The 27,352-nt window shown below is 44.1% G+C and overlaps 1 protein-coding gene across 2 annotated transcripts in view, besides 2 other annotated features; it reads left to right on the top strand.

The window, feature by feature from the left end:
* The window catches only part of KIAA1549, a 150,009-nt gene that overhangs the window by 26,632 nt on the left and 96,025 nt on the right, over nucleotides 1-27,352 (top strand). The gene's annotated exons all lie outside the window — the stretch shown is intronic.
* Nucleotides 9,143-9,684: an enhancer, noted in NCBI's record as "NANOG hESC enhancer chr7:138629820-138630361 (GRCh37/hg19 assembly coordinates)". NCBI's record gives its function as "activates a minimal SCP1, AML or CMV promoter by ChIP-STARR-seq in primed H9 embryonic stem cells {active_cell/tissue: H9 hESC(primed)}" and the evidence as "EXISTENCE:reporter gene assay evidence [ECO:0000049][PMID:30033119]".
* Nucleotides 11,040-11,820: an enhancer, noted in NCBI's record as "H3K4me1 hESC enhancer chr7:138627684-138628464 (GRCh37/hg19 assembly coordinates)". NCBI's record gives its function as "activates a minimal SCP1, AML or CMV promoter by ChIP-STARR-seq in naive H9 embryonic stem cells {active_cell/tissue: H9 hESC(naive)}" and the evidence as "EXISTENCE:reporter gene assay evidence [ECO:0000049][PMID:30033119]".

The following is a 27,352-nucleotide window of genomic DNA, read 5'->3' as shown; positions in this document are numbered from 1 at the left end:
TCTGGAAGCTTCAGTCACTCTGCACGGGCCAGGTACCTCTCCACGAGCGGCAGAGGCTTCCGTGAGCCTGGAGGGTGGTCTGAGACAACATCCGGAGGGGTGATCCAAGTGGAAAACTGCTTATGGCATTGTTGTGGGGGGAGGGGGGTGCCACGGAGGCAGAGGAATTACCTGACAGACGAGGAGGAACCAGACCATTTTTGGCCAGAGAACAGGAGCCTGAGGAGTTCTCCCAGGCTATCGTAGAGAGCCTGCGCTTTGGCAGGGGGTGGCTGTTAAGGATGCCAGCTTGTTAGATAAAATCCACACTGCTTAGTTTGGCAGTTCAGGTCTTCTGTAGTCTAACCCCAGTACCCACCCAATCTCCATCCTGTCCCTGCAGGAATGGCCCACAGTACGACTTAGCCATGCCCCGTGAGGCCTTCTGTTCTTTCTTTAGTATCTTACTCATGCTCTTTTCCCCAAAGGGAGTGCCTGCCCAGGTTCCCCAATTTTCTAAATTCTGGCCATGTCCAGAGCAAAGTTTAGCTCTTATTTTTACCAATAGAATTAAATTGCACGAATGCGCTCTGCTTCATATTCTTCTAGCAATTTCTGTCTACCATCGTATATTTATTTGCTGTTGTTAGAAGCCAATTTTTATTACTAATCTAACTTCTTGTGCGTATATCCTTTCTCCTTAAATAGCTTACTAGCCTAGCGCCTTGCTAGCATTTTGCACATAGAAATATGACTGTTGATTACTAAACATAATATTTCATTGAAACTAAGATACCATCAACAGTGTGATGCACCATTTATTTTCTGTACCTCTGAGAAAGATCATGAAGAAAAAATACTGCCATTTAAACCGTACGTACCAATAACTAGATTCACCCCGATTTCAGATATCTTAAAATGTGAAAGAACAGGTCTTAGAATGGATGAATCACAGTAGATATGAAATAAGTGCTTGTTTAGTTTATTTTATTGTGTATGTATTTGTATTGTATGGAAGATAGATGAGAAAATTTATAAACATGGCAAGAAAAGGCCTTAACATTTTATTACTTAAACATTTCCAATTAAATTCTTGTCGAGTCTCTGCTTGGGAATATGGATCACATAGCTTTCCCTTTTGAATTCAGCATATTTACTTGTAGTATGTATTCTTTCTTTAGGAAGCTTCCCTTGTTTTATTTCACCTGTTTTCTTTCATATTTTGTTTTTTCACTGTAGATTTACGCTTTTTTGTGTACTATTTTTCTGGCAGTGTTTTATATAGGAGGGATGACCCTTCTTAAAAATGTATCTTTTTATAATTGCTTATTTTTATCATTCCTTTTTCCTATTATTATTGTGCTTAAAAAGTAGAGATGAAGCTGCACTTATTTATTATTTACATTTTTTTGTTTTTGTTTTTGAGACAGAATCTTGCTCTGTTGTCTAGGCCGAAATGCAGTGGCCTGATTTCAGTTCACTGCAGCCTCCACCTCCCGGGTTTAAGTGATTCTTGTGCCTCAGCCTCCTGAGTAGCTTGGACTACAGGTGTGCACCACCATGCCTGGCTAATTTTTGTATTTTTAGTAGAGATGAGGTTTTACCATGTTGGCCAGGCTGGTCTCGAACTTCTGGCCTCAGGTGATCCACCTGCCTCGGCCTCCGAAAGTGCTGGGATTACAGGCATGAGCCACCGTGCCCAGCTACAGCTGCTTTTAAGACGAGTGATTCAGAACAGACTTTTGAAGCAACAAAATTTGATCACTTCTCATCTTAAAAGAGAGCTGACTCATTTGTCCTTACGGGTAAATCCATCACTTGGTGATAGGAGAATGGTGATAGGAGAATATTCTGAATATTCAGTCTAGACTCACTTGCTCCTTATTTGCCTCCAGGCCTCTCCTTGCCAGGCTTTCTCCTTACTGGATGTTATTTACCAAGGGTTTCCACTCATTAGGGGTGGTGATGCTTGTTTTAAAGGTCTTCTAGAACCTTCTAGATAGAACACCTCCTCAGGATCTGAAAATCTCAAGATATCACAAAGTAACAAGTAATCAGAGCCAGAGCTAGTGTCTCCAATGCCAAGTTGCATGAAAAATACATTTTTAGACTTGAGTATGCAACTTTTGTTAAAGATTCCTCATTAGGCGGTTATTGTATTAGCAGCTGGTTAGAACTTCGTGCCCTGGGAATTCACGTCAGCCCTTCACAGCTCCTACTGTGTAGAGATGAGTGACCTTTATGAACACCATTTGATATGCAGAGTCCTCACTTTATTCCTGGGAACTACATTTTTCCTGATTTTTACTGGCTGAGAAGAACAGGAACAAGAAAACATGTTTGTTTGTCTGTGCTCTCAAACTCATTTCCCCTTAGGGTTCCTGATTGTTAGAATACTGCTCTCTTGCCTTAGCCTGATTTCTTTGATGTGCCTCATCTTGTTTAGATCCAGAATCCCGGATTCTTATTTTTCTAGGCCATGTTATTAATAATTACACGAACAACTGGCATTGTTTTTGAAAGCTTTGCCACATGTCAGTCCAGTGGCTCTTGACCTTGTGCAGATTATAATCACCTGGGAAGTTTTGAAATCCCAGACCATCCTCAGCCACATTGAGTCAGAACCTCTGTGGGTGGATCCAGGCACGGGTAAAGTGCCGGGGGCTCTGACCTGCAGCTAGAGTTAGTGCCTTCCGTGCGTTCACCCGTGCAGTCCACGTAACCACCCTGTGTGTTCTTTTCCTCATTTTATAGATGGAATCACTGAGGGCAGGATTGGTTAACCCAGCATTCATGGAGATTCCAGTCCAGATTGTTCGATTCCAGAGGCGATTCTTTTAGTATTTCTTTAGTTAACGCACTGGAGCCAGACTATTTGTTAAAACCAAGCAGTTGCTTTCCGTAGTTTTTATAAAGGTAACTTTTTAATGGTCATTTATGAAGTGCTTTTAAATTCCTGGATGTTGCTTAGACATATGTATTATGTTCTTTTCTTGTATAGTTTTCTCATCATGATGTATAGAATTTCTGTTGGTTCAAGAGTATTTGCCCCATTAGCATTTTTATGAACTCAGATTGTCCCTGAGTGATCTTAGAGGAGTGACTGGTTAAGTTTTGGGTACTTTATAAAAATCTGTGCTCATTTTAAATCACTAGTTTTATGGGGAAAGCAGGTGTCGTCATCTGACAAGTGGGTTTATAGCTTAAGCCAGCACGATTGGGGAGCAGCTCACTGAACTGCAGAGACAGACATAGGCAGTGCCAGGGCCAGCCTGTGTAAGCAGACCATTCAGAGAGAACGTGCGGGGAGAGGATGGCAACTGTGCACTCAAGGAAACACCCAGGGAAGGGAAGGGAAAAGAAATAGTGGCAGGGTGGCAGCAGAGTCAAGGAGAAACTGTGCTAGGGAGAGAGGACCACTGATGTTTGAAGGTGAGAGAGATCTAAAGAAGTGGGAGAGGCGAAGACACGGGTGGAGGGAAGTGTCCGTGAACCCTGAATCCTGTGATGCCCTGTCCGGGATTCAGGTTCCTCCAGAGGGAGGATGCGGCTGGGCATGGTGGCTCATGCCTGTAATCCCAGCACTTTGGGAGGCTGAGGCAGGAGAATCGCTTGACCTGGAGAGGCGGAGGTTGCAGTGAGCCGAGATTGCACCACTGCATTCCAGCCTGTGCAAGGGAGTAAGACTCTTATCTCAAAACAAAACAAAACAAAACAAAAAAACCAGAAGAGAGGGTGCAAAGGATGGGGAGGGTTAGGGCGGGCCTGACCTTGGGGATGAAGGAGTAGGTAGGGAGGTAACTGGTGACAGCTGGGCCGAGGTGAGGGCGAGGTGGTCGGGGACCTCATGTGACATGATGCTGATAACCTCAGCAGGGTAGAGAGAGCGTCTGATGAAAGTGTGGCGAGGTGGTCGGGGACCTCGTGACATGATGCTGATAACCTCAGCAGGGTAGAGAGAGCATCTGATGAAAGGTTTCAGCCCCCGGGGAGATCCAGAGTCCTGGAGCCACAATGAGGTGGGAACCCCCATACCAAGACATACATGCAGGATTGGGCCAGAGCTGGCGGGCCTCGGCCACCTTTGCTGTCAGTGGTGCCTGGGAACAGTGCCTGGAAGCAGCATGGAAGATGCGTCCCTTTTGCAGCAAACCGAACTTATGTGAGGGTTGCCCTGAGCATGGAAGATAAATCTGAAGTGATTATTCTTGTACCAAATAGTCTTTAAATGACAAGAGTCCCCTAAGCCACCTTAATAGAATGAATTTGTATTCCAGAGGTGGGTTTTCACACAGCTCTTCAGGAATTCATCTCCCTGCACGCTTAAGTGAAGGCTCTCAACTCCTTCTCCTTTCTTGAAAGACAAGGAAGGCTGGAAGGGAAATTAGAGGCAGGCTTTCCTTTTCTGACCAGCTTAGTTGAGTGGCTTTCAAACTTTGTTAGGGCGATCTGTTAGTTGTGTGTTTGCAAGTTTGATAGATATTTAGTTTTTGAAATTTTATATATATTCTGAAATTTTTTACGATTATAATAAAAGATCTAATGTATTAATATATGAGTATTTGTAAGTATACAATGAATTTTCACAAACTGAATGGCTGTATAACAACACCAATATCAAGAAACAGAACATGACCTGCCCTTCAGAAACTCTCATGTCCCCTTCCAGTTACTACCATCCCCAGCTGAAATATTAAGTCAGCACATGGCAATCCTGCCATACACACGTTTTAACACAATGGAGACCACGAAGTGTTAGCTCATGGTGCTGGGATAACTTGTTCCTGTGCAGATCTGAAATAAGGTGGCCTCAGCCATCTTCTTGAAAATTTGGCACCGACTAGGAAGATTGTGGGGCTTGGCACCGACTTGAAGTCAGGTGTACTCGCTGCTCTCGTGATATTGCGTGAATTGCCCCGGCCCCTGCTGGGGTTGGCTCAGATGTATTAGAATGTGTGACCCACCTGTGGGTCTCTGAGAGTCTGGCGTGTCATAGCCAGTCCTGGGTTCTGTCATAGGTCCTCAGCACTCCTGGGGTCTGCAGTCATGTGAAGCCACACTACTGTTTGGTGACTTTAGGAATTTTTTAACCTTGAGGCAAACATTTCCTGGTACTCTCCTGTTAAGCTTGAGCCAGATTGGACCTTTGTTCACTCAGGTGGTTGGCGCTTGAATACTGGTTTAGGTGTTTGTGGAGTCCTACAGGCTGGCATTGGAACCCCATCTCTTCATTAGCTGTATGCCGAGAGACAGCAGAATAGGCTTTCGGTCTCCACAGTTGGGCATGGGAAGAAAACATCAGAACTTCCATTTACTTTAAAAAAATACTGATTTTTTATTTAAAAATAAAAATTAAATTTTACTGATACCTAATATGCGGGTCTATCCTGACATTATCACTTCGTCTATATGACAGAACATTTTGTGTCACATATGAAGAGTAAAGTGTCCTGAGGACAGACAAATCCCATGACATGGAGGGGTTGATGGTGAGTTTGTCACTTTTTTATCTTTCAGCGACTTGGGGTAGATGAGGGTAATGACTGCTTTGTTAAGTGAATTTTCAAATTACAGAAATAATTCCAGGTTTTATATAAACAAATTTTCCCTTGGTAGACAGATGTCTCAAAACGATTTTTTCGAGAGTGTGGAGACTTGTAGATTAGAGATAGTTTTAACAGTGCAAACACAAGCAGGTAAGAAATGACAGAGCTGTTACTCCTAGTATGAGCTCCTTGTCAACCTCATGACCCCGTAAAAACGGTATAAACCCTGGCCGGGCGCGGTGGCTCACACCTGTAATCCCAGCACTTTGGGAGGCTGAGGTGGGTGGATCACCTGAGGTTGCGAGTTTGAGACCAGCCCTGACCAACATGGAGAAACTCTGTCTCTACTAAAAATACAAAAAATTAGCCAGGCATGGTGGCACATGGTGGCACATGCCTGTAATCCCAGCTACTCGGGAGGCTGAGGTGGGAGAATCACTTGAACCCAGGAGGCAGAGATTGCAGTGAGCCGAGATCACGCCATTGCACTCCAGCCTGGGCAATGAGAGCGAAACTCTATCTCAAAAAAAAAAAAAAAGCCACAAAACAAAAAAACAGTATAAACCCCATAAACCACTGCACTGTCATGGAACAATGACTCTTTTGCTTGGCTGTAGGGAGAGGTCAACCTCATTACCCCATAAAAACAGTGACAGTATCTATTGGTTTGCAAGGGCCACGTAACAAGATACCACAGACTGGGTGGCTTAAATGACAGAAGTTTACTCTCACGGTTTTGGAGCCCAGAAGTCCAAAATCAAGGTGTTGGCGGGGCCATGCTACCTCTGATGGCTCCAGGAAGGATTCTTTCCTGCCTCTTGTGTTTGTCTGGCTAGCCTGGGCATTTGCTGGCAGGCCTGGGCACTCCTTGGCCTGTAGCCGCTTCACCCCAGCCACATGGCTGTCTTCGTCCTGTGTGTTCACACCATCTTCCCTCCATGTGTGTCTGTCTCTGTGTCCGAATTCCCCCATTTTCGTGAGGACACTGGCCATGTTGGATTATGGCCCACCACAGTGACCTCACTTTACCTTGATTGCCCCTAGTAAGGCCCTATTTCCAAGTAAGGTCACATTCTGAGATAGTGGGGGTTAGGACTTCAAAATATCTTTTTTGGGGTACACAGTTCCTCCCATGAGATTAATCAGATGTGATAAGAAGCTGGTCCCTGAGGCCGGGTGCAGTGGCTCACACCTGTAATCCCAGTACTTTGGGAGGCCGAGGCAGGTGGATTGCTTGAGTCCAGGAGTTTGAGACCAGCCTGGGCAACGTGGCGAAACCCTGTCTCTACAAAAAATATGAAAATTAGCTTGGCTTCGTGGTGCATGCCTATAGTCCCAGCTACCTGGGAGGCTGAGGTGGGAGGATTGCTTGAGCCCAGGAGGCAGAGTTTGCAGTGAGCCGAGATGGTGCCACTGTACTGCAGCCTGGGCAACAGAGTGAGACCCTGTCTTAAAAATAAAAAAAAAAAGTTGGCCCCTGAATATTGAGATTCAGTTGCATCAAAATGACTGAAAGTGTAGTTTACATCTGCAGTTATTATCAAGGAATCTCAGAAAAGTTTGGTTTTGCCTTCAGATGTTAGCAAGTGTAATTATGAGGTTAGTTATTGCACGTTTTCTTCATTCTTTTAAAACTTGGTATTGTATATGTTTTGTAAGATTCTTCATATCAAAACAGGAGTCTGTGTGTATAATTTCAAAACAAAGTATATAGTGGAGGTGTGCTTGGGAATTTTTTTATTAATGGAGTGTGGACCCAGGCAGTGTGAGACTACCCCCTGGGCTGGCTGCTTGGTGAGGTCAGGTGCATACAAACCCCAGCTCCACATGTTACTAACATTCAGCGTTTTCGGGTTTTTCAGCCTCTGTAGCTTCAGTTTCCTCATTTGTAAAGGGGTGGTTGGGGAAATTAAGTGATGTACTGACGGAAGGTGCTTCTCCCAGAATTTGGCATATAGTAGGCATTCAGTACGTAGAAGCCATCATGGATGCTAGTAAGTTAACTTGTTTTCCATCATATTTTATTTTATTAACGTTTCATCTTGGGTCAGCTGGTCAACATGGGACTGCAGATTACCCAAGAAACTCAGCTGCTCAACTGGATGAACAGTGGTTCTATACTAATGGACTTAAAATGGAAGGGAGCTAGATTTTACTTATTATCCTGCTTGGTGAGAACGTGGAAGTAGATAAAATCCCAGTGAATGCTCTACTGTGGTTTTTCTGCACCCGTTGGCAGTGGGGGCTGCTGGGAGACCAGGGGTTGTTTACCTGCTCCCATCAGCCTCTCTCCCTGGGCCATGCAGTAAAGCTGCAGTGAGTCTCAGAGGGTTCTCAGTTGGGCAGTCTCACCTGCAGAGGCGCTGGGCAATGCCTGCGAGCATTTGTTGTTGTCATCATAGTTTGGGGAAAGGCATTACAGACGGGGTGGAGTCAGGGATTCCAAAAAACTGGGGGTCTCTAGATGCCTCCATTGCTCAGGCTGGAGTCCAGTGGCGTGATCTCGGCTCACTGCAACTTCTGCCTCCAGAGTTCAAGTGATCCTCCCACCTCAGCTTCCTGAGTAGCTGAGACTACAGGCGCACACCACCTCACCAGGCTAATTTTTGTATTTTTGGTAGAGACGGGGTTCTTCATGTTGCTCAGGCTGGTCTTGAACTCCTGGGCTCAAGTGATCTGCCCGCCTCAGCCTCCCAAAGTGCTGGGATTACAGGCGTGAGCCACCGTGCCCGGCCAGGCCTTTTAAAAAAAAATTCTGTTTTAGAATATCTTTAGTTTGTGAGACTTTTCCTCCTCTCCCCATAGCCAAGCGAAAGAAAGAGTAATTGTACCACGACAGTAGAGTGGTTTAAATTTTCACTGAAGATGCCCTGTGTTTCTTATCTAAATAGGGTCAGTAATCAAGAGTCTTTTTCTCTTAAAGGCCACTGGTTCCTCTGCAGAAATCAACTAAGGCTTACATACAAGCAGAAAACAATGTTTTAAAGAGAAAACTATAACCAGTGTTTAAAAGCAGAGAATAACAAGCCTCACTCAGTAAATGTAACAACGAACATAATATATTATGCGACTTCATATTATTATGATATGTTAAACCAGTTAAGGAGAAAAGGGAGCAGATGAGAGGCAGTAAGAACGTGGGACTGGGGAGAGGCAGGCAAAGGGTGGAGAGAGCTTAGGGGTGGGGAAAGAGGGAGGGGAGGAGAGAAGGGGAAGGGGAACTTGTAAGCTTAGTTGAGAGAACCCTCTTGAACATACTGCTTTTCAAGCTTCCTGTTGGCCTCAATTGTGGACATTCTATTTTGTTGATAGGGGTTCTCATCCTGTTACTCAGGCTGGAGTGCAGTGGCACAATCATGGCACATTGCAGCCTTGAACTCCTGGGCTCAAGCCATCCTCCTGTCTCAGCCTCCAAACTACTAGGATTACAGGCGTGAGCCACTATGCCGAGCCGTGAAAAGAAACCAATCTTTTATAATCTACTTTTAAAGTGGTCTGTGTTAAAGGATGATTTTAATATGCCTATAAAAAAAGTGTTAGCGTTCTGGTTTTAAAGTACAGGTGGTCAGAAGTCACAGTCTTGGGCAGGATGGCACAAGTAACTTCATGCTTTAAATACATAAAATTGATAGATGAAATATGAGTGCAGAGAGCCAAAAAGTCTCAACTCAAAAGCGAATAATCACCTGTGTGGACCAGAAGTGGTATAGAGCTGCAAAGTACTTAGTGGGGTCAAGGTCACCTTCTGCCAGGTGAGGGGCTTGGTTTGCAAAGTGCAGCTGAGAGCTGAACACAGCAGATGCTAACAACCCAGAGGTAGTACTTAGACAACAGCTGTCAGCATGCCTGGATTGGAGCATCAATAAGGAGGTGATTAACACCCTCCTTTCAAGAAGCTCTGAGAACTGCCTGGAAGGACGGGATGAGATGTCTTAGACAGTGGCTGGCGCTAAGGCACCTGGGGTGAGTGTTACAATATGCGTTCCTGGGCCTCACCCCCTCAGAGAGTCTAGGGAAAGGCCTGGAGATCCATTTTTTAAAAAGATCCCTGGGTGATTCTGAGAGCAGGACTCCTCTGTGAGAGACACTATACTGGTAGAAAATAAGTGAACTTTAGAAAAATAACAGCTTCCCCAGTTAAACTGGGATAAGGGTATTTAACTGGACCTAGGAGGTTTTTGTATTTGACCCCTTAAGTTATTTTTTGGTAAAACATGCATAACATAAAATTTACAATTTTAGCCCTTTCAAAGTGTTCAATTCAGTGACAGTAAGTACATCCACAGTAGTGTGCAGCCACAGGACTGGCTGGACAGTGGGCAGTGGACAGGGGTCCATTGCACCCTCCTCGCCCCTGGCAGCCACTAACTGCATTCTGCCTCTGTGGGTTTGCCTTTTCTGGATATTTCATGTAAATGGAGTCATACAGTATGTGTTTGTGTGTCTGGCTGCTTTCAGTTAGCATAATGTTTTCAAGGTTCATCTGTGTTGAACTATGCAGTGGTCTTCCATTCCTTTCTGTGGTTGAATAGTATTGCATTTTATGGATATATCACCTTTTTTTTTTTCCATTCATTAGTTGGTGGACATTTGGGTTGATATCATCTGTTGGCTTTTGTGAATAATGCTGCGTTCAAGCAGAAGTTTTGGTTTGAACGCCTGCTTCCAGTGTTTTTCTGGGGACATAGCTAGGAGTGGAATTAGTGGGTTGTGTGATAATTCTATGTTTAACTTGTTGAGAGACCAGATCCCCGCCAAACTCTTTTCCACAGTGGAAGCACCAGCTGTGTATAAGGGTTCCAATTTCTCTATATTTTCACCAACACTAATTTTTCACTTTAAAAAATATAGCCATCCTATGGGTATGAATTGGTATTTTATTGTGCTTTTGATTTGCATTTCCTTGATGACAAATGATATTAAGCATCCTTCGATGTACTTCTTGGCAATTATGTGGCTTTTGAGTGAAAAGTTATTCAGATGCTGGGGTAGTGTGGGGGCTGGGGTGGCTGGAGAGATGTTGGTCAAAGGATGTAAAATTTCACTTAGGAGCAGTAAGTTCAAGAGATCCATTGTACAATGTAGTGATGATAGTTACCAGTTAATAACAGTATATGGTAATCTTAAAAAATGGGGCCATAGACAAAAAAAAAAATGCTAAGAGAGGCCCGCTCAGTGTAATCCCAGCTTGTAATCCCAGCACTTTGGGAGGGCGAGGTGGGAGGACCACTTGAGCCCAGGAGTTCAAGGCCACCCTGGGCAACATAACGAGACCCTGTCTCTATTAAAAAAAAAAAAATGCTAAGAGAGTAGATTTAAGTGTGCTTACCACAAAAACTAAGCTATGTGAGGTAATGCATTTTTTTTTTGTTTTGTTTTTTTCTGAGATGGAGTCTCACTCTGTCGCCCAGGCTGGAGTGCAGTGGTGCGATCTCAGCTCACTGCAAGCTCTGCCTTCCGGGTTCACGCCATTCGCCTGCCTCAGCCTCCCGAGTAGCTGGGACTACAGGTGCCCGCCACTACACCCGGCTAAATTTTTGTATTTTTAGTAGAGACGGGGTTTCACCATGTTAGCCAGGATGGTCTCGATCTCCTGACCTTGTGATCCACCCGCCTTGGCCTCCCAAAGTGCTGGGATTACAGGCGTGAGCCACTGCGCCTGGCGAGGTAATGCATTTGTTAATTAGCTTGATTTAGCCATGCCACAATGTATATATATTTCAAAACATTATGTTGTACACAATAAACATATACAGCTTATTTTGTCAATTATAAAAAGAATAAGGGAAATAAATAATTTGTGAAAAGTTATTCATTTGGGTGGTGTTTTCTTCCACAGGCATGAGTTTCGTGTGCTGTGACTGAGACTGCCGGCGCTGGGGGCAGACAGCCCAGGGCTCTAGTCCAGATTCTCTGGCAGGGATTTGGGCAAACCAGACCTCTCTGTGCTGCCTGCCCTGCTGTAAAATGGAGATGAGAACGGCGCCTTCACCATCGGCCTTTGTGGGACTCGAGGGGGACTCGTGACGCATCTGGGCACAAAGCAAACACTCTGGAGTCATTGTTGCCACTGTTGTCACAAACAAGAAGATCTGTGATTATTTCCCTCCTTCTCTCATGTGGGTCTAGCAGGCTGCCTTAGCTTCCTCGCGGTGGAGGGCAGACTGTCTGCAGGGGCACACATTGGTTGCTCATCGGTTGTTTGAGGCCCAGGCAGCCCTTAGTAGGTTGCTGGAGACAGCAGAGAGGTCTTTGGTCCTTTGTGTTTGTTGCTTGAATTTTCTTGCTTCTGGTCCAACCTCCAGCTTACTTTTTTTTTTTTTTGAGACGGAGTCTTGCTCTGTCGCCAGGCTGGAGTGCAGTGGCACGATCTCGGCTCACTGCAACCTCCACCTCCTGGGTTCAAGCGATTCTCCTGCCTCAGCCTCCCGAGTAGCTGGGACTGCAGGTGCCCGCCACCATGCCTGGCTAATTTTTTATATTTTCAGTAGAGATGGGGTTTCACCATGTTAGCCAGGATGGTCTCGATCTCCTGACCTTGTGATCCGCCTGCCTCAGCCTCCCAAAGTGCTGGGATTACAGGCGTGAGTCACCGTGCCCAGCCTCCAACTTACTTTTGCGGGTAAGGGAGCGCATGTATCACCAGTGCAGTGCTTGAGAAGGCTGGTGCCTGGGACAGTTCCCAACTTCTGTTACCTCTCCTCTTTGGGTCTCCCTGTGGGCCTCAGCCACCGGATCCAGGTCTTTCTGTGGCAGCATCCCCATGCGGTCATGGTGCAGAGCTGATTGCAGGAGCTAGCCTCATGCCTCTCTGGCTTCAGCATCCGAGATATTATTTTCACCGTATTGCTCTTTTACATGTTGTTTAAACCTCCTGAAGTTGATAGGCCTGTGTTGAAATGCAGTGAGCAGAGTTTTCAAATTGGGAAGTGGTTTTTAATACTTAGAATTCTCGTTTGCCTTCAATTATGAAAATTTTTGTACAGAGCTGCTCAAGAATGATAATCTGGAAATTTCTTTCAGAGAGACAGTGTGGTGCTGTGCCCAGAGCAAGGGGTTTTGGCAGCGGATAGATCCGGGTTCAAATACTGGGTCCACCACCTGCTAGTTGTGGGACTTGAACAAGTTACTTAATCTTTTGGAGCCTCGGGTTTTTCACCAATGACGTGAGAAGGATAATGGATCATAGCACCTGGGAGAGGGTGGCTATTGGCCACATGAGCTTATAAAAATTGAGCATTGTGACTTGTAATGTGGTAAAATATACATAACATAAAATTTAACATTTGAGTCACTTTTAAGCATACAATTCAGTGGCATTCATTGCAACGTTTTTTAAGATTTCCTTATTTCCTCTTTGGAAGAGTTTAGGCTCCCTCATCTTACTGGTCCCTGAAGGTTATCCCTGATGTCTCCTGCTTCCCTTCCCTACCTTCTTGCAGCAGACTGGGCAGTTCAGTTCAGCAGAGCGCTAATTGCTCTCCTGAGTGGAAGTGCTCTAACCCAGGGGGAAGTGTAGGTACCTGTGAGGCTTGGCTATTAATAGAGGGTTTCTCAGGGTCAGTAAGTGATTATGCGGAAGGCATTAACTAGCCTGTGTTTTTGAAGGGAGGAGGATTCTTCTGTCGCACAGGTATTTTACTGTTTATTAACACTTCTCTGAGTAAGGGATAGGGAGAAAAGGATTCAGATTATTTTTTGCTGTTTTGTAGAAACTCTAGTACAGGAAGAAGAGGAATTTGAAACTGTTTAACCATCGTGTCTTAAGGTTATTTTAGTACTTCTTAATCTGTTCTTTGGAAAGGTGCTGTAATAAATGCACTGCTTTGAGATATTCTGACGTTTCTATTTCCTCCTTCCCTCCTTCTTAAGTGTCATAATTTCCAAGATCTGCCTTATTCTTTACTATCTTTATGGAACGGTGAACTTTGGCAGGGGAGGGGGACTTTAATATATTCACAGGGTCAATGATTTGTGTGTAATCTTTTTAAAGAATGGTACAGAAATCAGCATCTTTGTATTGAACTCCTAATCAGGTGACTTATTAAATGTTCTTACAAAACACAAATAACATTATTGTTCCAGACCCCAAATTATTATTATTTCTATAATTTGAGTGTTGGAACATCTTTTTAAATTATTTTTTAATTTTTTTTAATAAAATTTTTTAAAAGCAATGGCAACAAAAGCCAAAATTGACAAATGGGATCTAATTAAACTAAAGAGCTTCTGCACAGCAAAAGAAACTACCGTCAGAGTGAACAGGCAACCTACAGAATGGGAGAAAATTTTTGCAGTCTACTCATCTGACAAAGGGCTAATATCCAGAATCTACAAAGAACTCAAACAAATTTACAAGAAAAAAACAAACAACCCCATCAACAAGTGGGTGAAAGATATGAACAGACACTTCTCAAAAGAAGACACTTATGCAGCCAAAAGACACATGAAAAAATGCTCATCATCACTGGCCATCAGAGAAATGCAAATCAAAACCACAATGAGATACCATCTCACACCAGTTAGAATGGCAATCATTAAAAAGTCAGGACACAACAGGTGCTGGAGAGGATGTGGAGAAATAGGAACACTTTTACACTGTTGTTGTGACTGTAAACTAGTTCAACCATTGTGGAAGTCACTGTAGCGATTCCTCAGGGATCTAGAACTAGAAATACCATTTGACCCAGCCATCCCATTACTGGGTATATACCCAAAGGATTATAAATCATGCTACTATAAAGACACATGCACACGTATGTTTATTGCGGCACTGTTCACAATAGCAAAGACTTGGAACCAACCCAAATGTCCAACAACGATAGACTGGATTAAGAAAATGTGGCACATATACACCATGGAATACTATGCAGCCATAAAAAATGATGAGTTCATGTCCTTTGTAGGGACATGGATGAAGCTGGAAACCATCATTCTCAGCAAACTATCACAAGGACAAAAAACCAAACACCACATGTTCTCACTCATAGGTGGGAATTGAACAATGAGAACACATGGACACAGGAAGGGGAACATCACACACCGGGGCCTGTTGTGGGGTGGGGGGAGCGGGGAGGGATAGCATTGGGAGATATACCTAATATAAATGACGAGTTAATGGGTGCAGCACATGAACCTGGCACATGTATACATATGTAACAAACCTGCACGTTGTGCACATGTACCCTAAAACTTAAAGTATAATAAAAAAATTATTTTTAAATTAAAATTAAAAAAAAAATTTTTTTTGTAGAAATGGGGTCTTGCTATGTTGCCCAGGCTGGTCTCAAACCACAGGCTTCAAGCAGTCCTCCTGCTTGGGCCTGCCAGAGTGATGAGATTATAGGCGTGAGCCACCACGCCCGGCTGGAATATCTTTAATTAATGCAGGCTTAAAAAACCCAACCTCCTTAGTGAAATAATGGATGGAGGCAGTGATCATCAGTGACTGCCTAGTCATTATGTGAAGAGTTGATGAGGAGCCTTGTAATGGATGAAAAGGGCTGTCACCTCTTAAGCCCTTGATAAATTTTAGTATCACTCAGAATAGAACAGCCAGAAACCAGGCGCTTCCTGCCGTGATACAGTGGAAATACAGAGGACCACCTAGGGAGTATTCTTGCCAAAAACATTGATTCTGAATCTAATGAAGCCTCTTGATCTAACTACCAGTTTATAAGAAATTTGGGGGAAGAACACGTTAAATGACACCATGAGAATATAGTCAGCCAAATATAGAATGTGGACTGTCTACAGGGACAAATGACCTTTCTTTAACAAGTAAATAGGGAGAGATTTAAAAAGGGGGAAAAAAAGAGGAGAAAACTGTTATAAAGTAAAAGAGACCTAAGAGACACATGAACCAAAAGCATTGTATGTACCTTGTTTGGATCCTGGTGTGAAAAAAGCAACTGTACTGTTATACAAAAATATTTTGAGGCCACCAAGGAAAACCAAGTTTGAAATGCATAATTAGATGATATTAGGAATTATTTTTAATTTTGTTGGGTGTGATAATTATATTGTGGTTATAATTTTTTAAAGTCCTTATCAGAGATGCTGAAGTATTTACAGAAATTAATGATGTCTGGGATTTGCTCTATTTGTGTTTTAAAAAAAAGTTTATGGGATTGAAGCTGAGTAATGGGTTCCAGTCTTTCAACTTTTGTGTATGTCTGAAAATTTTATAATAAAAAGTTTAATTAATTAATTTTTTTTTGAGACAGAGTCTCACTCGGCTCACTGCAACCTCCGCCTCCCAGGTTTAAGCTATTCTCCTGCCTCAGCCTCCCAAGTAGCTGGGATTACAGGCATGTGCCACCACGCCTGGCTAATTTTTGTGTTTTTAGTAGACACAGGGTTTCGCCGTATTGGCTAGACTGGTCTTGTACTCTTGTCCTCAGGTAATGCACCCGCCTCAGCCTCCCAAAGTGCTGGGATTATAGGCGTGAGCCACTGTGCCTGGCCTATAATAAAAAGTTTAAAATGCCAAAATTGGGTTGTTTGGCAGCATTTAAACAATTTATTGTAATAGCAAAAACAGGCATAGAACTCTACATGGAAGGGACTGCAGTTTTAGAAAATTGCTTTCTGGGTTATCTATAGATTTGATCTGGTTAGTTTCTTGTCAAATTAGTATTTACATTAACTTCATGTCATTCCCTATCATGGAGTCCCACAGAACCCTCAAATAAACCGAGATAAGTTATAATTATAGACACTTAGAGAGTTAATGCTATGGATAATTGCTAATCAGTAGGCTCTTCATACCAATAAGCAGGCAGAACAGGGGGTTTGGGAAAGATTACCAGTGAATGGAAATAAATTAAGTAAGGATGAGAATGAATAATATGTGTGCTTGACTGAATTGGATTCCAGAAGTATATGTAACCAGAACTCAATTTGATGTGTGTCTTAGTCCATTTGGGCTGCTATAACAAAATACCTTGGACTGGTCACTTATAGACAATAGAAAATTATCACTCACAGTTCTGGAGTGAGAAGTCCAAGATGGAGATCATAGCAGGCTCGGTTTCTGGTGAGGGCTTGTTCCTCATAGACAGCGCCTTCTGTGTGTCCTCATATAGGAGCTCTCTCTGGCCTTTTTTAGAGGGACACTAATCCTGTTCATGAGGGTGGGGCCCTCATGACCTAGTCACCTTCCAAAGGCCCTACCTCTTAATACCATCACCTTCGGGTTAGGTTTCAACATATGAATTTTAGGGGGACACAAATATTCAGACTATAGCAGTATGATTCCTAAAGGTGGCCCCTCCTGACTGCGGCAGAGCACCCGTAAGTGAACATATCCCTGGAGGGCTTGGAAGTCAAACTCCCCCCACCTTCCTTGATGGTGTCATTTGACCCCAATGATCATCTTTCTGCAGATTATCACCAATCTCTATCATTGGCCCAGATTTCTCTCTCAAACCCTAGAGTCACATTTCCATCCACCCCGAGTTGGCTCCTCACCGTCCATGTGAGTCTCAAACGACAGGCTCCTCTTGGTGACCCCGCACCATTCGTATGAGCCATTTCCACATCTGTGAATCTCCTTCCTGCTTCAGGCCACTGTGCTCGCCACCCCCTCTGCCTGGAGCAGCCTTCCTGTCTCTCTCTCTCGGCTCCTCATCCTTTCCTGAGGTTCCTTGCTGTCCATCACAGCATCTTGCTTATTTCCTTACCAGTCTTCTCTGTTCATCATTATTGTCTGTCTCCTCTTCTCAGCCATAAAGTTGTGAGCAGGGGACCTTTCTATCTTGGCTAACACTTCACACCCTGCACTTAGCTCACATGACCGGTAGGTGTTTGTTGGACTCATGAATGAATGAATGGACATGTTAGTCTTTGGGCTGGACATGGGAGGCACACTGATAAGACACAGCCTCTTCCTTCAAGTAGCTCACAGTCTGGGGTAGGGTGGTGGGGCAGGTGAGTAATGAGTAAATCAAGAATGCAACCTAAGTGTCAAGAGAGAAGCACATGCAGGGTTCTGGGGAAGATGGAAAAGGGGGTTCTGGGGTGTGATAGTTACGGGAAGGAGGAGGGGCATGGTGGTCAGAGAGCACGTCGAATAGCTGGGGCATGGGCTGGTTGTAGGGGAGGGTAATACTAATGGCACAGGCGGGAACGGGGAGCTGAAGGCTCTTGTATCTCAGCTGAGGGCTTTGGCTTTCTGAAGGCTTTTAAGAGCCACTGGAGGATTTTGAGAATGGGGTGACATAGTTTGATTGTTTCTTTCCTTTTAGATGAACTTCATATATACAGAATTGATTGATCAGCTCTGCACGTTAGAAAACTCCAGATGGATTGGAGGGGATAGAGGAGGCTGCAGAGCTTAGGGTGGGTTATGGCTCGTAGAGAGAGACCACAGCCCTGACTGATTACCATGGCTAGGAACACACACCTCTAATCAGGGCCGGGGCAGTTACAGGGTTTCTTAGCATACCTTCCCTTGGCCCACAGTACCAGCGTTTGGGGGGTGTGTTTGTGTGGGGGTGGGGGGGGTCACACATCTCTAGTTCTCTAGTGACACTGTTTGGACAAGGTGGGAACTTGTCATGCTGGAAGTGCTGCCACCCTTTGCATATGGGGCTTAAGACACCACCCAGGAAACAGAAGCCATTTGAAAGGATGTTTGTGGATGCTGTGGCCTCTCCTGGTTCCCAAACCAAACCCAGAGTGAGCGAAGAAGCAGGCAATGTCCATGGACTCAGAACATCTCTGCTTCCTGCACTTCAGTGTCCTGGAAAGCCTGTCTCTCACAGAAGTTGTGCGAGGCAGGGCTCTGAGCGGGTCATTGTAAGGCCTAAATTAATTGGTGGCGGTGGGAAGGAAGATGTGTGAGGGTCCACAGTGCTGGCAGGACCTGGCTTACAGGCACGAGCTATTAAGTGGCATATGGGGGAGGGTCAGGGTTTTTTTAGGAGCCTGTTGGATACTCAAGTGGAATTGCCTAGTGGACAGTTGTAACTGTGACTTAGAATCACCTTTGACTTTTTGTTCTGTCTTCCCCATCCATTCCACTGGCTGCTGAATTTGATCATCTTTTTTACCTTAGTGCAGTCTCTCTGACATGGAACTTCTTTTCTGTTCCCTTCACCGTCCTGATCACACTCCTTGCCACATCAACCATGCATATCTGTGTGTATGATGGAGCACTATTTTATGCTTCTTTCCGCTCTGCCAGATTGATTTTTCTGCAGGATAACTTTGGTCAAAAAGCTGCTCTGCTCAAAATATCCTATTCCTTCCTATTGTCTGCCAACATTCTCACACTCTTGGGCCAACTTTTCTAGTATTATTCTCTCCAACCACTGCAGACACATCCCACTTTGTCCAGACATGGTGCCTTTGTCCTTGCTGCTGCTTCCAGCCGGCGTGACCCCTCTCTCTCTTAAGCCTCCTGATCCCTTGATATAAAATAAAAGCTTAATTTAGAGCCGAATTAAGGCATTGAGCCTGCCACATAAGCTGTTTACTGTTTGTTGGAATTAATACCCCCCAGGGAGGCAGTGGTGTCTCCTGGCAGCTTGGACGTCGGTGTGGATGTTCATTGCTGCTGGCTCCTGCTGTTGGGAGGGAAGGTGCCTGCTCATGCTTAGTCATGGGATGTCGTGTGCCACTCCTGCTCTGAGTGTAATAGGAGACAGAAGATTATCTGGAAGCTGATGGTGTCCTTTTCCCTGTTGTTACAGGACTGTGTTTTAAATTAAATTATTTTAGAAACAGATGGCTGACAGAAATTTTTTTGCCTTTGTTGTTAGTGAATTGAGTAGTTTAGTTTGTTTTGGTTACTCAAAGTGCTGACAGTCTTGCTTTCTAGGTTGGTGAAAGAGGATTGCATTTTATTTAGGAAAGAATAAAGCAAAACAAAGCAAAACAGAATATCTTTTGGTAAATACTCTGGACCTTGCCTTCAATTAAACCAACATTTTAATATCCTTAGCTCCTCAAATGAGAAAGTCATGCACAGAAATAGAGTCCCCAAACCCCACCATGAAGCCTAAACTGATGTTTTAGCTAGAATAGTTGAATTTTTAAAAGCCTTGCAGTATTAGTATTTCAGTATTGTTTGGTTGCAGTCATTGTTTTCTGAAGTTCCACATGAGTTCTCTTTATGTTTGGGTGAGGTCACTAATTGTTATCTGTGTTCCATCTTTAGAGGAGGAAATGGAAGGGGTGACTAATTACGAGGGATTTCTCCGGGGGGCACTGAGCAAGTTGGAGATAGAACAGCGCCCAGTTCTGTTTTCTGTGGAATGTTCTGGAGACTTTGGCCCCATTATCCCTCTCTGGATGGGATTGTATTTTGCCAGTGCTGAAGAGCTGTGCTTTTTATGAGCTGGTGTTTTTCCAGCTAAACCTGAAGCTGCCCACTGCCGGTATCATGGCCATTCATCATTTGGGGGCTCCCCTTTCTCTTTCTGGGGAACCCCTTATGGTTTGAGGGTTAGAGAAAACCTCATAGCATATACATAGGGTCCTATTTTCCTTCCACTTGGGAAGTCAGATCTCAACACCCATTTTTCAGGTAGTGATTTTCAGGGACCACGTATCTTGTTAGAGGATGAAGGACCTGAGACCCAGGAATGTGAAATGGCTCCTCCAGGTGGGCGGGGATGCGGCCCGAGGCCTGCAAGCTCTCATCTCCGGCACTCTCTATTATTACACTATGGTGTCTCTTATTTGAGTCAGGAATCAAAGATGTGACATATGGCAATTCAAACATCACGAATTCTCCGCTCTCTTGGTGTACTCCGCCCCATCCCTCAACCACTCCCTATTTTCAGTGGATGTTCTGGACTTGTTTTTTTTTTTTTTTTTAGTAGCAAATACTGTATTCAGAGAGGCCCTCTAACCAGAATTCCCACCAATTCTCACAAGTAAATCTGTAAAGTTTCCTGGTCTCTGGACTCACTCTCTCAGTCTGTCCTCCATGGTAGTAATTTTCAGGTACCCTGTGTCTTGTGGAGGATCAAAGCCCACTTTCTCTGCAGGTTCCGTTCCTTCCTTCCTTCTCAACCCCATGGGCTCCTCGCTGGTCCTTTCGTCTTCGGTGTTGTCATTACTTTTGCATTACTCCATCAGCAGTGCTCTCGCCCTTTTGATGTCATTTGAGTCACCCTTCGGTTCCAATTATAGGTTCCAAAACAACAGTAAGAACGACGACAACAACAAAAACCCATACACTACTTCCTGATGAGAACCTGAGTTATTTTTATTTTGCAAGAGTTGTATTTTATTTATTTTACTATTATTATTTTTGAGACAGAATCTTACTCTGTCACCCAGGCTAGAGTACAGTGGCACAATCTCAGCTCACTGCAACCTCCCCTTCCTGGGTTCAAGTGATTCTCCTGCCTCAGCCTCCCGAGTAGCTGGGATTACAGGCACGTGCCGCCATGCCTGGCTAATTTTTGTATTTTCATTGAAGATGGTTTTTCGCCATGTTGGCGAGGTTGGTCTTGAACTCCTGACCTCAGGTGATCCGCCTGCCCCGGCCTCTGAAAGTGCTGGGATTACAGGCATGAGCCACTGCGCCTGGTCTATTTTGCAAGAATTTTAGACATAAAGTTGGCAAATTAATGCACAGAGTTCCCATATACCCTTCATTCAGCTTCCCCTAATAATAACATCTTACATGATCATAGTGGGGTTACCACAATTATGAAGTTTGCATTTGTTCAATGCCATGAATGAAACTACAGACTTTACAGGGTTTCACCAGTTCTTCCACTTCTGTTCTGGAGTCCAGTCCAGACTTGCACATCACATTTAGTTGTCACAGCTCCTCAGTCTGCTCAGTTCCTCAGTCTTTTCTTGCCTTTTATGACCTTGGCATTTTTGAAAGTCAGGTCTTTTGTACAATATCCCTGGTACTGGGTTTATCTGATGCTTCCTCATGAGTAGAGGAAACATTTTGCATTAGCTGCTTTGCCTTTTTAGAAACTTGCGTCTTTAACCAGCTCCTCGGTGATTCTTCTCTCTCATCTCAGAACCAAGTGACTTCCCCAGACCCTCCAGGTACCATCTCCCTTCCCTGCCTCATGCAGTGAAACTGCTCATGAAGTTGACTGCGTGGAGCTCCTGTTTCCTCATCTGCCCTTCACTAGTCAGCCTGGCTTCTGCCACCACGAGAAACGTGCATGCCAGCAGGGCCTCTCCAGCCTGCACGTGCCTGGTCTCTCGGAGTCATTCAGCACAGCGACCCTTCCCCAGTACCGACCGATTTTCTGTTTTCTTGTCACCTCCCGTTCCTGGTTTTCCCATGTCTCCCTGGCTTCTCCTCTTCACGTTTGCAGGTTTATCTCAGGCTCGGATTATCCATTTGCATACTTGATATCACCATGTGAATTTCCCTAAAGTAAATCCCAGGCTAGTGCTTCTGAAACTTGAATGAGTGCATGAATTACCTGGGGGTCATGGTAATAGCAGTTTCTGACTCCGTAGGGTCTTGAGTGGGCCTGAGATGCTGCATTTCCAAAACACTCCCGGGTGATGCTAAAGATCCGCTGACCACACTCTTGAGGAGCAAAGTGCTAAATACACCACTCTAAGCCGCTGTCATCTCAAGTTCAACTCTAGTGACCTCATAACTGATTTCTCTACATCTCCTCTTGCCCCCATTAGCCTGTTCTGCACACAGCAGCAAGAGGTATTTTTGAAAACCATTTTTCAGATCCTGTCATTCCCATGCTTTTAAATAGCTTCTTCAGTGGCTTCTCACTGCATTTGCTCAGTGTCCTCAGCATTGCGGCTTCTAAGCCTTGCATGGTCTGGTCTCCTACATTTCTCTGACTCTACTTTAGAGTTTAAAAATATTTTTTTTTTCTGTTCCTTTCCAGACATGCTGTCTTTCTCTGTGTTCTCCAGTGGGCTGCATTCCTAGTACTGCCCCTCTGCCTCCAACCCCAAAACCATGTGCAGATCCCACATCCTTTGCCCACATAGTGCCACAGAATGTGCCACTCTGCAAACGCTTGTTTTCCAGTTAAGACAAAATAAAGAACTTACACGAGCATGTGAATTGACTGTTCATAGAGCATGCTGTCTAGTTTTTATAATTTTAATTTTTAATTTTAGCATGGCCTATTCTCTGAAAAGGGAGTATGTTGATTTCCATACTGGTTCAAGAACCTTGTCTCGTTGCAGACCCATAACAAAAAGCTTGTGGACCACACTGTGAGTAACAGTGGGTTGGGACACTCTTGTCTGCCTTCATGTCTCCTGCACACATACACACCCCACGCCTCCCCACCACACACCTCCAGGAACACATGGTCTTAAATGTGAAAAACAAAACCTTAAAACTATTAGAAGACAACATGGAAGAGTAACATAATGCCTTTTAGTGACGGGAACAATTTCTTAAATCTTCCATCTTAAAATATATACACGTGAATCTCAAACAATAACAAAAGACTGATAAATTTGACCATATTAAAATCAAGACCTTCTTTTTTTTTTTTTTTTTTTTTGAGATGGGACTTTTGCTCTGTCACCCAGGCTGGAGTACAGTGGTACAATCTTGGCTTACTGCAACCTCTGCCTCCTGGGTTCAAGAGAGTCTCCTGCCTCAGCCTCCCGAGTAGATGGGATTACAGGCACCTGCCACCACGCCTGGCTAGTTTTTGTATTTTTAATAGAGATGGGTTTTCACCATGTTGGCCAGGCTGGTCTTGAAGTCCTGACCTTAGGTGATCCACCCACCTCGGCCTCCCAAAGTGCTGGGATTACAGGCGTGAGCCACCACGCCTGGCCAAAATTGAGACCTTCTGTTCATCAAAGATGCCATTAAAAATATCAAACAACAAGTCATGAACTGGAGAAGTTATAACTGACATAAGATATGAGGATCCAAAACACAGGTGTACGCCTGCCCCATTTTATTGCACTTTGCAGATACTGCGCTTTTTACAGATGGAAGGCTCATGGTAGCCCTCCTTAGGTAAGTCTGTCGACACTTTGTGTCCCTGTCACAATTTGGTAATTCTCACATTTCTGATGTTTTCATTATTATTATATCTGTTATGGTGATCTGTGATCAGTCACCTTTGATGTCACTATTGTAATTTGTCCTGGGGTGCCGCAAACTCTGCCCATATACAAAGGCAAACTTAATAAATGTGCGTGTCCTAACTGCTCAACTCACCAGTCGTTCTCCTGTCTCTCTCCCTCTCCTGAGGGCTCCCCATCTGCTGAGACACAAGAATTTTGAAATTAGTCCAGTTTATAACTCTGCAGTGGCCTCTAAGTGCTCAAGTGAGAGGAAGAGTTGCATGTCTCTCACTTGCAGTCAAAAGCTAGAAATGATTACGTGAGGAAGACACATCAAAAGCCAAGGGAGCCTGAAAGCTGACCTCTTGCAACAAATAGATTGCCAAGTTGTGAATGCAAAGGAAAAGTTCTTGAAGGAAATTAAAAGTAGTACCACAACGAACACATGAATAATAAGAAAGCAAAACAGCCTTGTTGCTGATACGGAGAAAGCTTGAATGGTCTGGATAGATTAAATCAGCTGCAACATTCCCATAAGCCAAAGCCTAATCCAGAGCAAGGCTCTAACTCTGTTTGATCCTCTAAAGGCTGAAAAAGGTAAGGAGGCTGCAGAAGAAAAGTTTGAAGCTAACAGAGGTTGGTTCTTGAGATTTAAGGAAAGAAGCTTCTCCGTACATAGAAGTACAAGGTGTAACAGCAAATTATCCGGAGGATTTAGGTAAGATCACTGGTGGAGGCAGTTAGACTAAACAACAGATTTTCAGTGTGGATGAAGCAGCCTTCTAGGAGAAGATGTCATCTAGGACTTTCACAGCTAGAGAAGTCAATGCTTGGCTTCAGAGCTTCAAAGGATGGCTGACTCTCTTGTTAGGGGCCAATGAAGCTAGTGACTTGAAGTTGAAGCCAGTGCTCATGGACCATTCTGAAAAGTCTGGGGCCCTTAAGAATTATGGTAAGTTGGCTCTGCTTGCACTCTGTAAGTGAAACAACACAGCCTAGATGACAGCACATCTGTGTAAAGCATGATTTACTGACTAACTTAAGGCCACTCTTGAGACCTACCGCTCAGAACAAAAGATTCCTTTCAAACTATTACTGCTCATTGACAATGGACCTAGTCACCCAATAACTCTTATCAAGATGGATAAGGAGATTAAAGTTGCTTTCATGCCTGTTAACACACATCCATTCTGCAACCCATGGATCAAGAGTAATTTTGACTTTCAAGTCTTACTATATAAGAAATACATTTCATGGCTGGGTGCGGTGACTCACTTTGGGAGGCCGAGGCAGGAGGATTGCTTGAGGCCAGGAGTTTGAGACTAACCTGGGCAACATAGTGAGACCTTATCTCTACAAAAGAAAGATAAAATAAATAGCTGGGCATAGTGGCACATGCCTATGGTCCCAGCTGTTTGGGAGGTTGAGCTGTGGGGGATTCCTTGAGCCCAGGAGTTCAAGGGTGCTGTGAGCTATAATTGTACCATTGTATTCCAGCTTGGGAAATAGAGCAAGGCACTGTCTTAAAAAACAAAACAAAACAAAAAGATAAAAGAAATATATTTCATAAGGCTATATAGCTGCCATAGGTAGCGATTTCTCTCATGGGTCTGAGAAAAGTACGTCAAGAACATTCTGGAAAAGGTTCACCATTCTAGATGCCATAAAGAATATTCGTGATTTATGAGAGACAGCCAAAATATCAACATTAACAGAAGTTTGGAAGAAGTTGATGCGAAACCTCATGAATGACTTTGAGGCATTCAAGACTTCAGTGGAGGAAGTCACTGCAGATGGAATGAAGAACCTGAATTAGAAGCAGAGCCAGAAGACATGACGAATTGCAGCACTCATGGTCAAACTTAAACAGACGAGGAGTCACTTCTTATGGATGAGCAAAGAAAGTGGTTTCTTGAGATGGAACCTAGTGCTGGTGAAGATGCTGTGAATATTGTTGAAATGACAACAAAGGATGTAGAATATTCCATAAGCCTAGTCGATAAAACAGTTGGCAGAGTTTGAGAGGATTCACTCCAATTTTGAAGGAAGTTCTACTGTGGGCCAAATGCTATCAAACAGCATCACAGGCTACAGAGAAGTCTTTCATGAAATGAAGCATCAATTGATGAGGCAAACTTCATTGTCTAAGATAAAGCCACCCTAACCTTCATCAGCCACCCACCCTCATCAGCCAGCAGCCGTCAACACTGAGATAAAACACCACCAACAAAAAGATTGCAACTCGCTGAAGGCTTAGACAATTGTTAGCATTTTTAACAATGAAGTATTTTTAGTTAAGATGTGTACATTTTTTTTAATGTATTTTTTATTATACTTTAAGTTCTAGGGTACATGTGCACAACATGCAGGTTTGTTACATATGTATATATGTGCCATGTTGGTGTGCTGCGCCCATTAACTTGTCATTTACATTAGAGGGATAGCATTAGGAGATGTACATTGTTTTTTTAAGACATAATGCTATTGTGTACTTAATAGACTACAGTATGGTATAAACATAACTTTTATATGCACTGGGAAACAAAAAAATTTGTGTGACTTGCTTTATTGTGATATTTGCTTTATTAAGTTTGTCCAGGACCAAACCTGCAACAAAGGTGTATTTATACATCAAGAATGCCTTTAGGCTGGGCATGGTGGCTCATGCCTACAATCCCAGCACTATGGGAGGCTGAGGCGGGTGGATCACCTGAGGTCAGGAGTTTGAGACCAGCCTAGCCAACATGGTGAAACACTGTCTCTATTAAAAATACAAAAATTAGCTGGGCGTGGTGGCACGTGCCTATAGTCTCAGCTACTCGGGAGGCTGAGGCAGGAGAATTGCTTGAACCTGGGAGGCAGAGGTTGCAGTGAGCTGAGATTGCACCACTGCACTCCAGCCTGGGCAACAGAGTGAGACTCCATCTGAAAAAAAGAATGCCTTTAAATCAGAAAGAAAAAGACAGACAACCCAAAAGAAAAATGGGCAGTAGGATTGAAAAGACAATAGTAGGCCGGGCGTGGTGGCTCACGCCTATAATCCCAGCACTTTGGGAGGCCGAGGCAGGCGGATCACGAGGTCAGGAGATTGAGACCATCCTGGCTTACACTGTGAAACCCCGTCTCCACTAAAAATACAAAAAAATTAGCTGGGCGTGGTGGTGGGCACCTGTAGTCCCAGCTACTCGGGAGGCTGAGGCAGGAGAATGGCGTGAACCCAGGAAGCAGAGCTTGCAGTGAGCCAAGATCGCACCACTGCACTCCAGCCTGGGCGACAGAGCAAGACTCTGTCTCAAAAAAAAAAAAAAAAGACAAGACAATAGCAGAGGCAACATGAGTGGCCCGCAGATATTGAAAAGGTGATCCATCTATTTTAATCAGGGAAATGCAAATTAAAACCACAAGGTTTCACACCAGCCAGATTGGTAAACATGTGGACATCTAGGGCTATCAAGTCATAGTGAGGATTTGCGGCCATCAAGCTCTCATATATTGCTCATGGAAACACAGATTGGTTCAACGACTTTGAGAAATTTAGTGAAGTTACAGGTGAACATATCCTCTGATCTGCGATTGCATTCTTTTTTTATTTTTTTAAGACGAAGTCTTGCTGTATTGCCAGGCTGGAGTGCAGTGGCACAGTTTCGGCTCACTGCAACTTCTGCCTCCCAGGTTCAAGTGATTCTCCTGCCTCAGCCTCCAGAGTAGCTGGAACTACTGGCATGCGCCACCACACGCAGCTAATTTTTGTATTTTTAGTAGAGACAGGGTTTCACTATGTTGGCCAGGATGGTCTCGATCTCTTGACCTTGTGATCTGCCCACCTG

Source organism: Homo sapiens, chromosome 7 (assembly GCF_000001405.40).
Source record: "Homo sapiens chromosome 7, GRCh38.p14 Primary Assembly".
In the NCBI taxonomy this organism is placed as follows: domain Eukaryota; kingdom Metazoa; phylum Chordata; class Mammalia; order Primates; family Hominidae; genus Homo; species Homo sapiens.
This window is presented reverse-complemented; position numbering and strand designations above follow the sequence as displayed.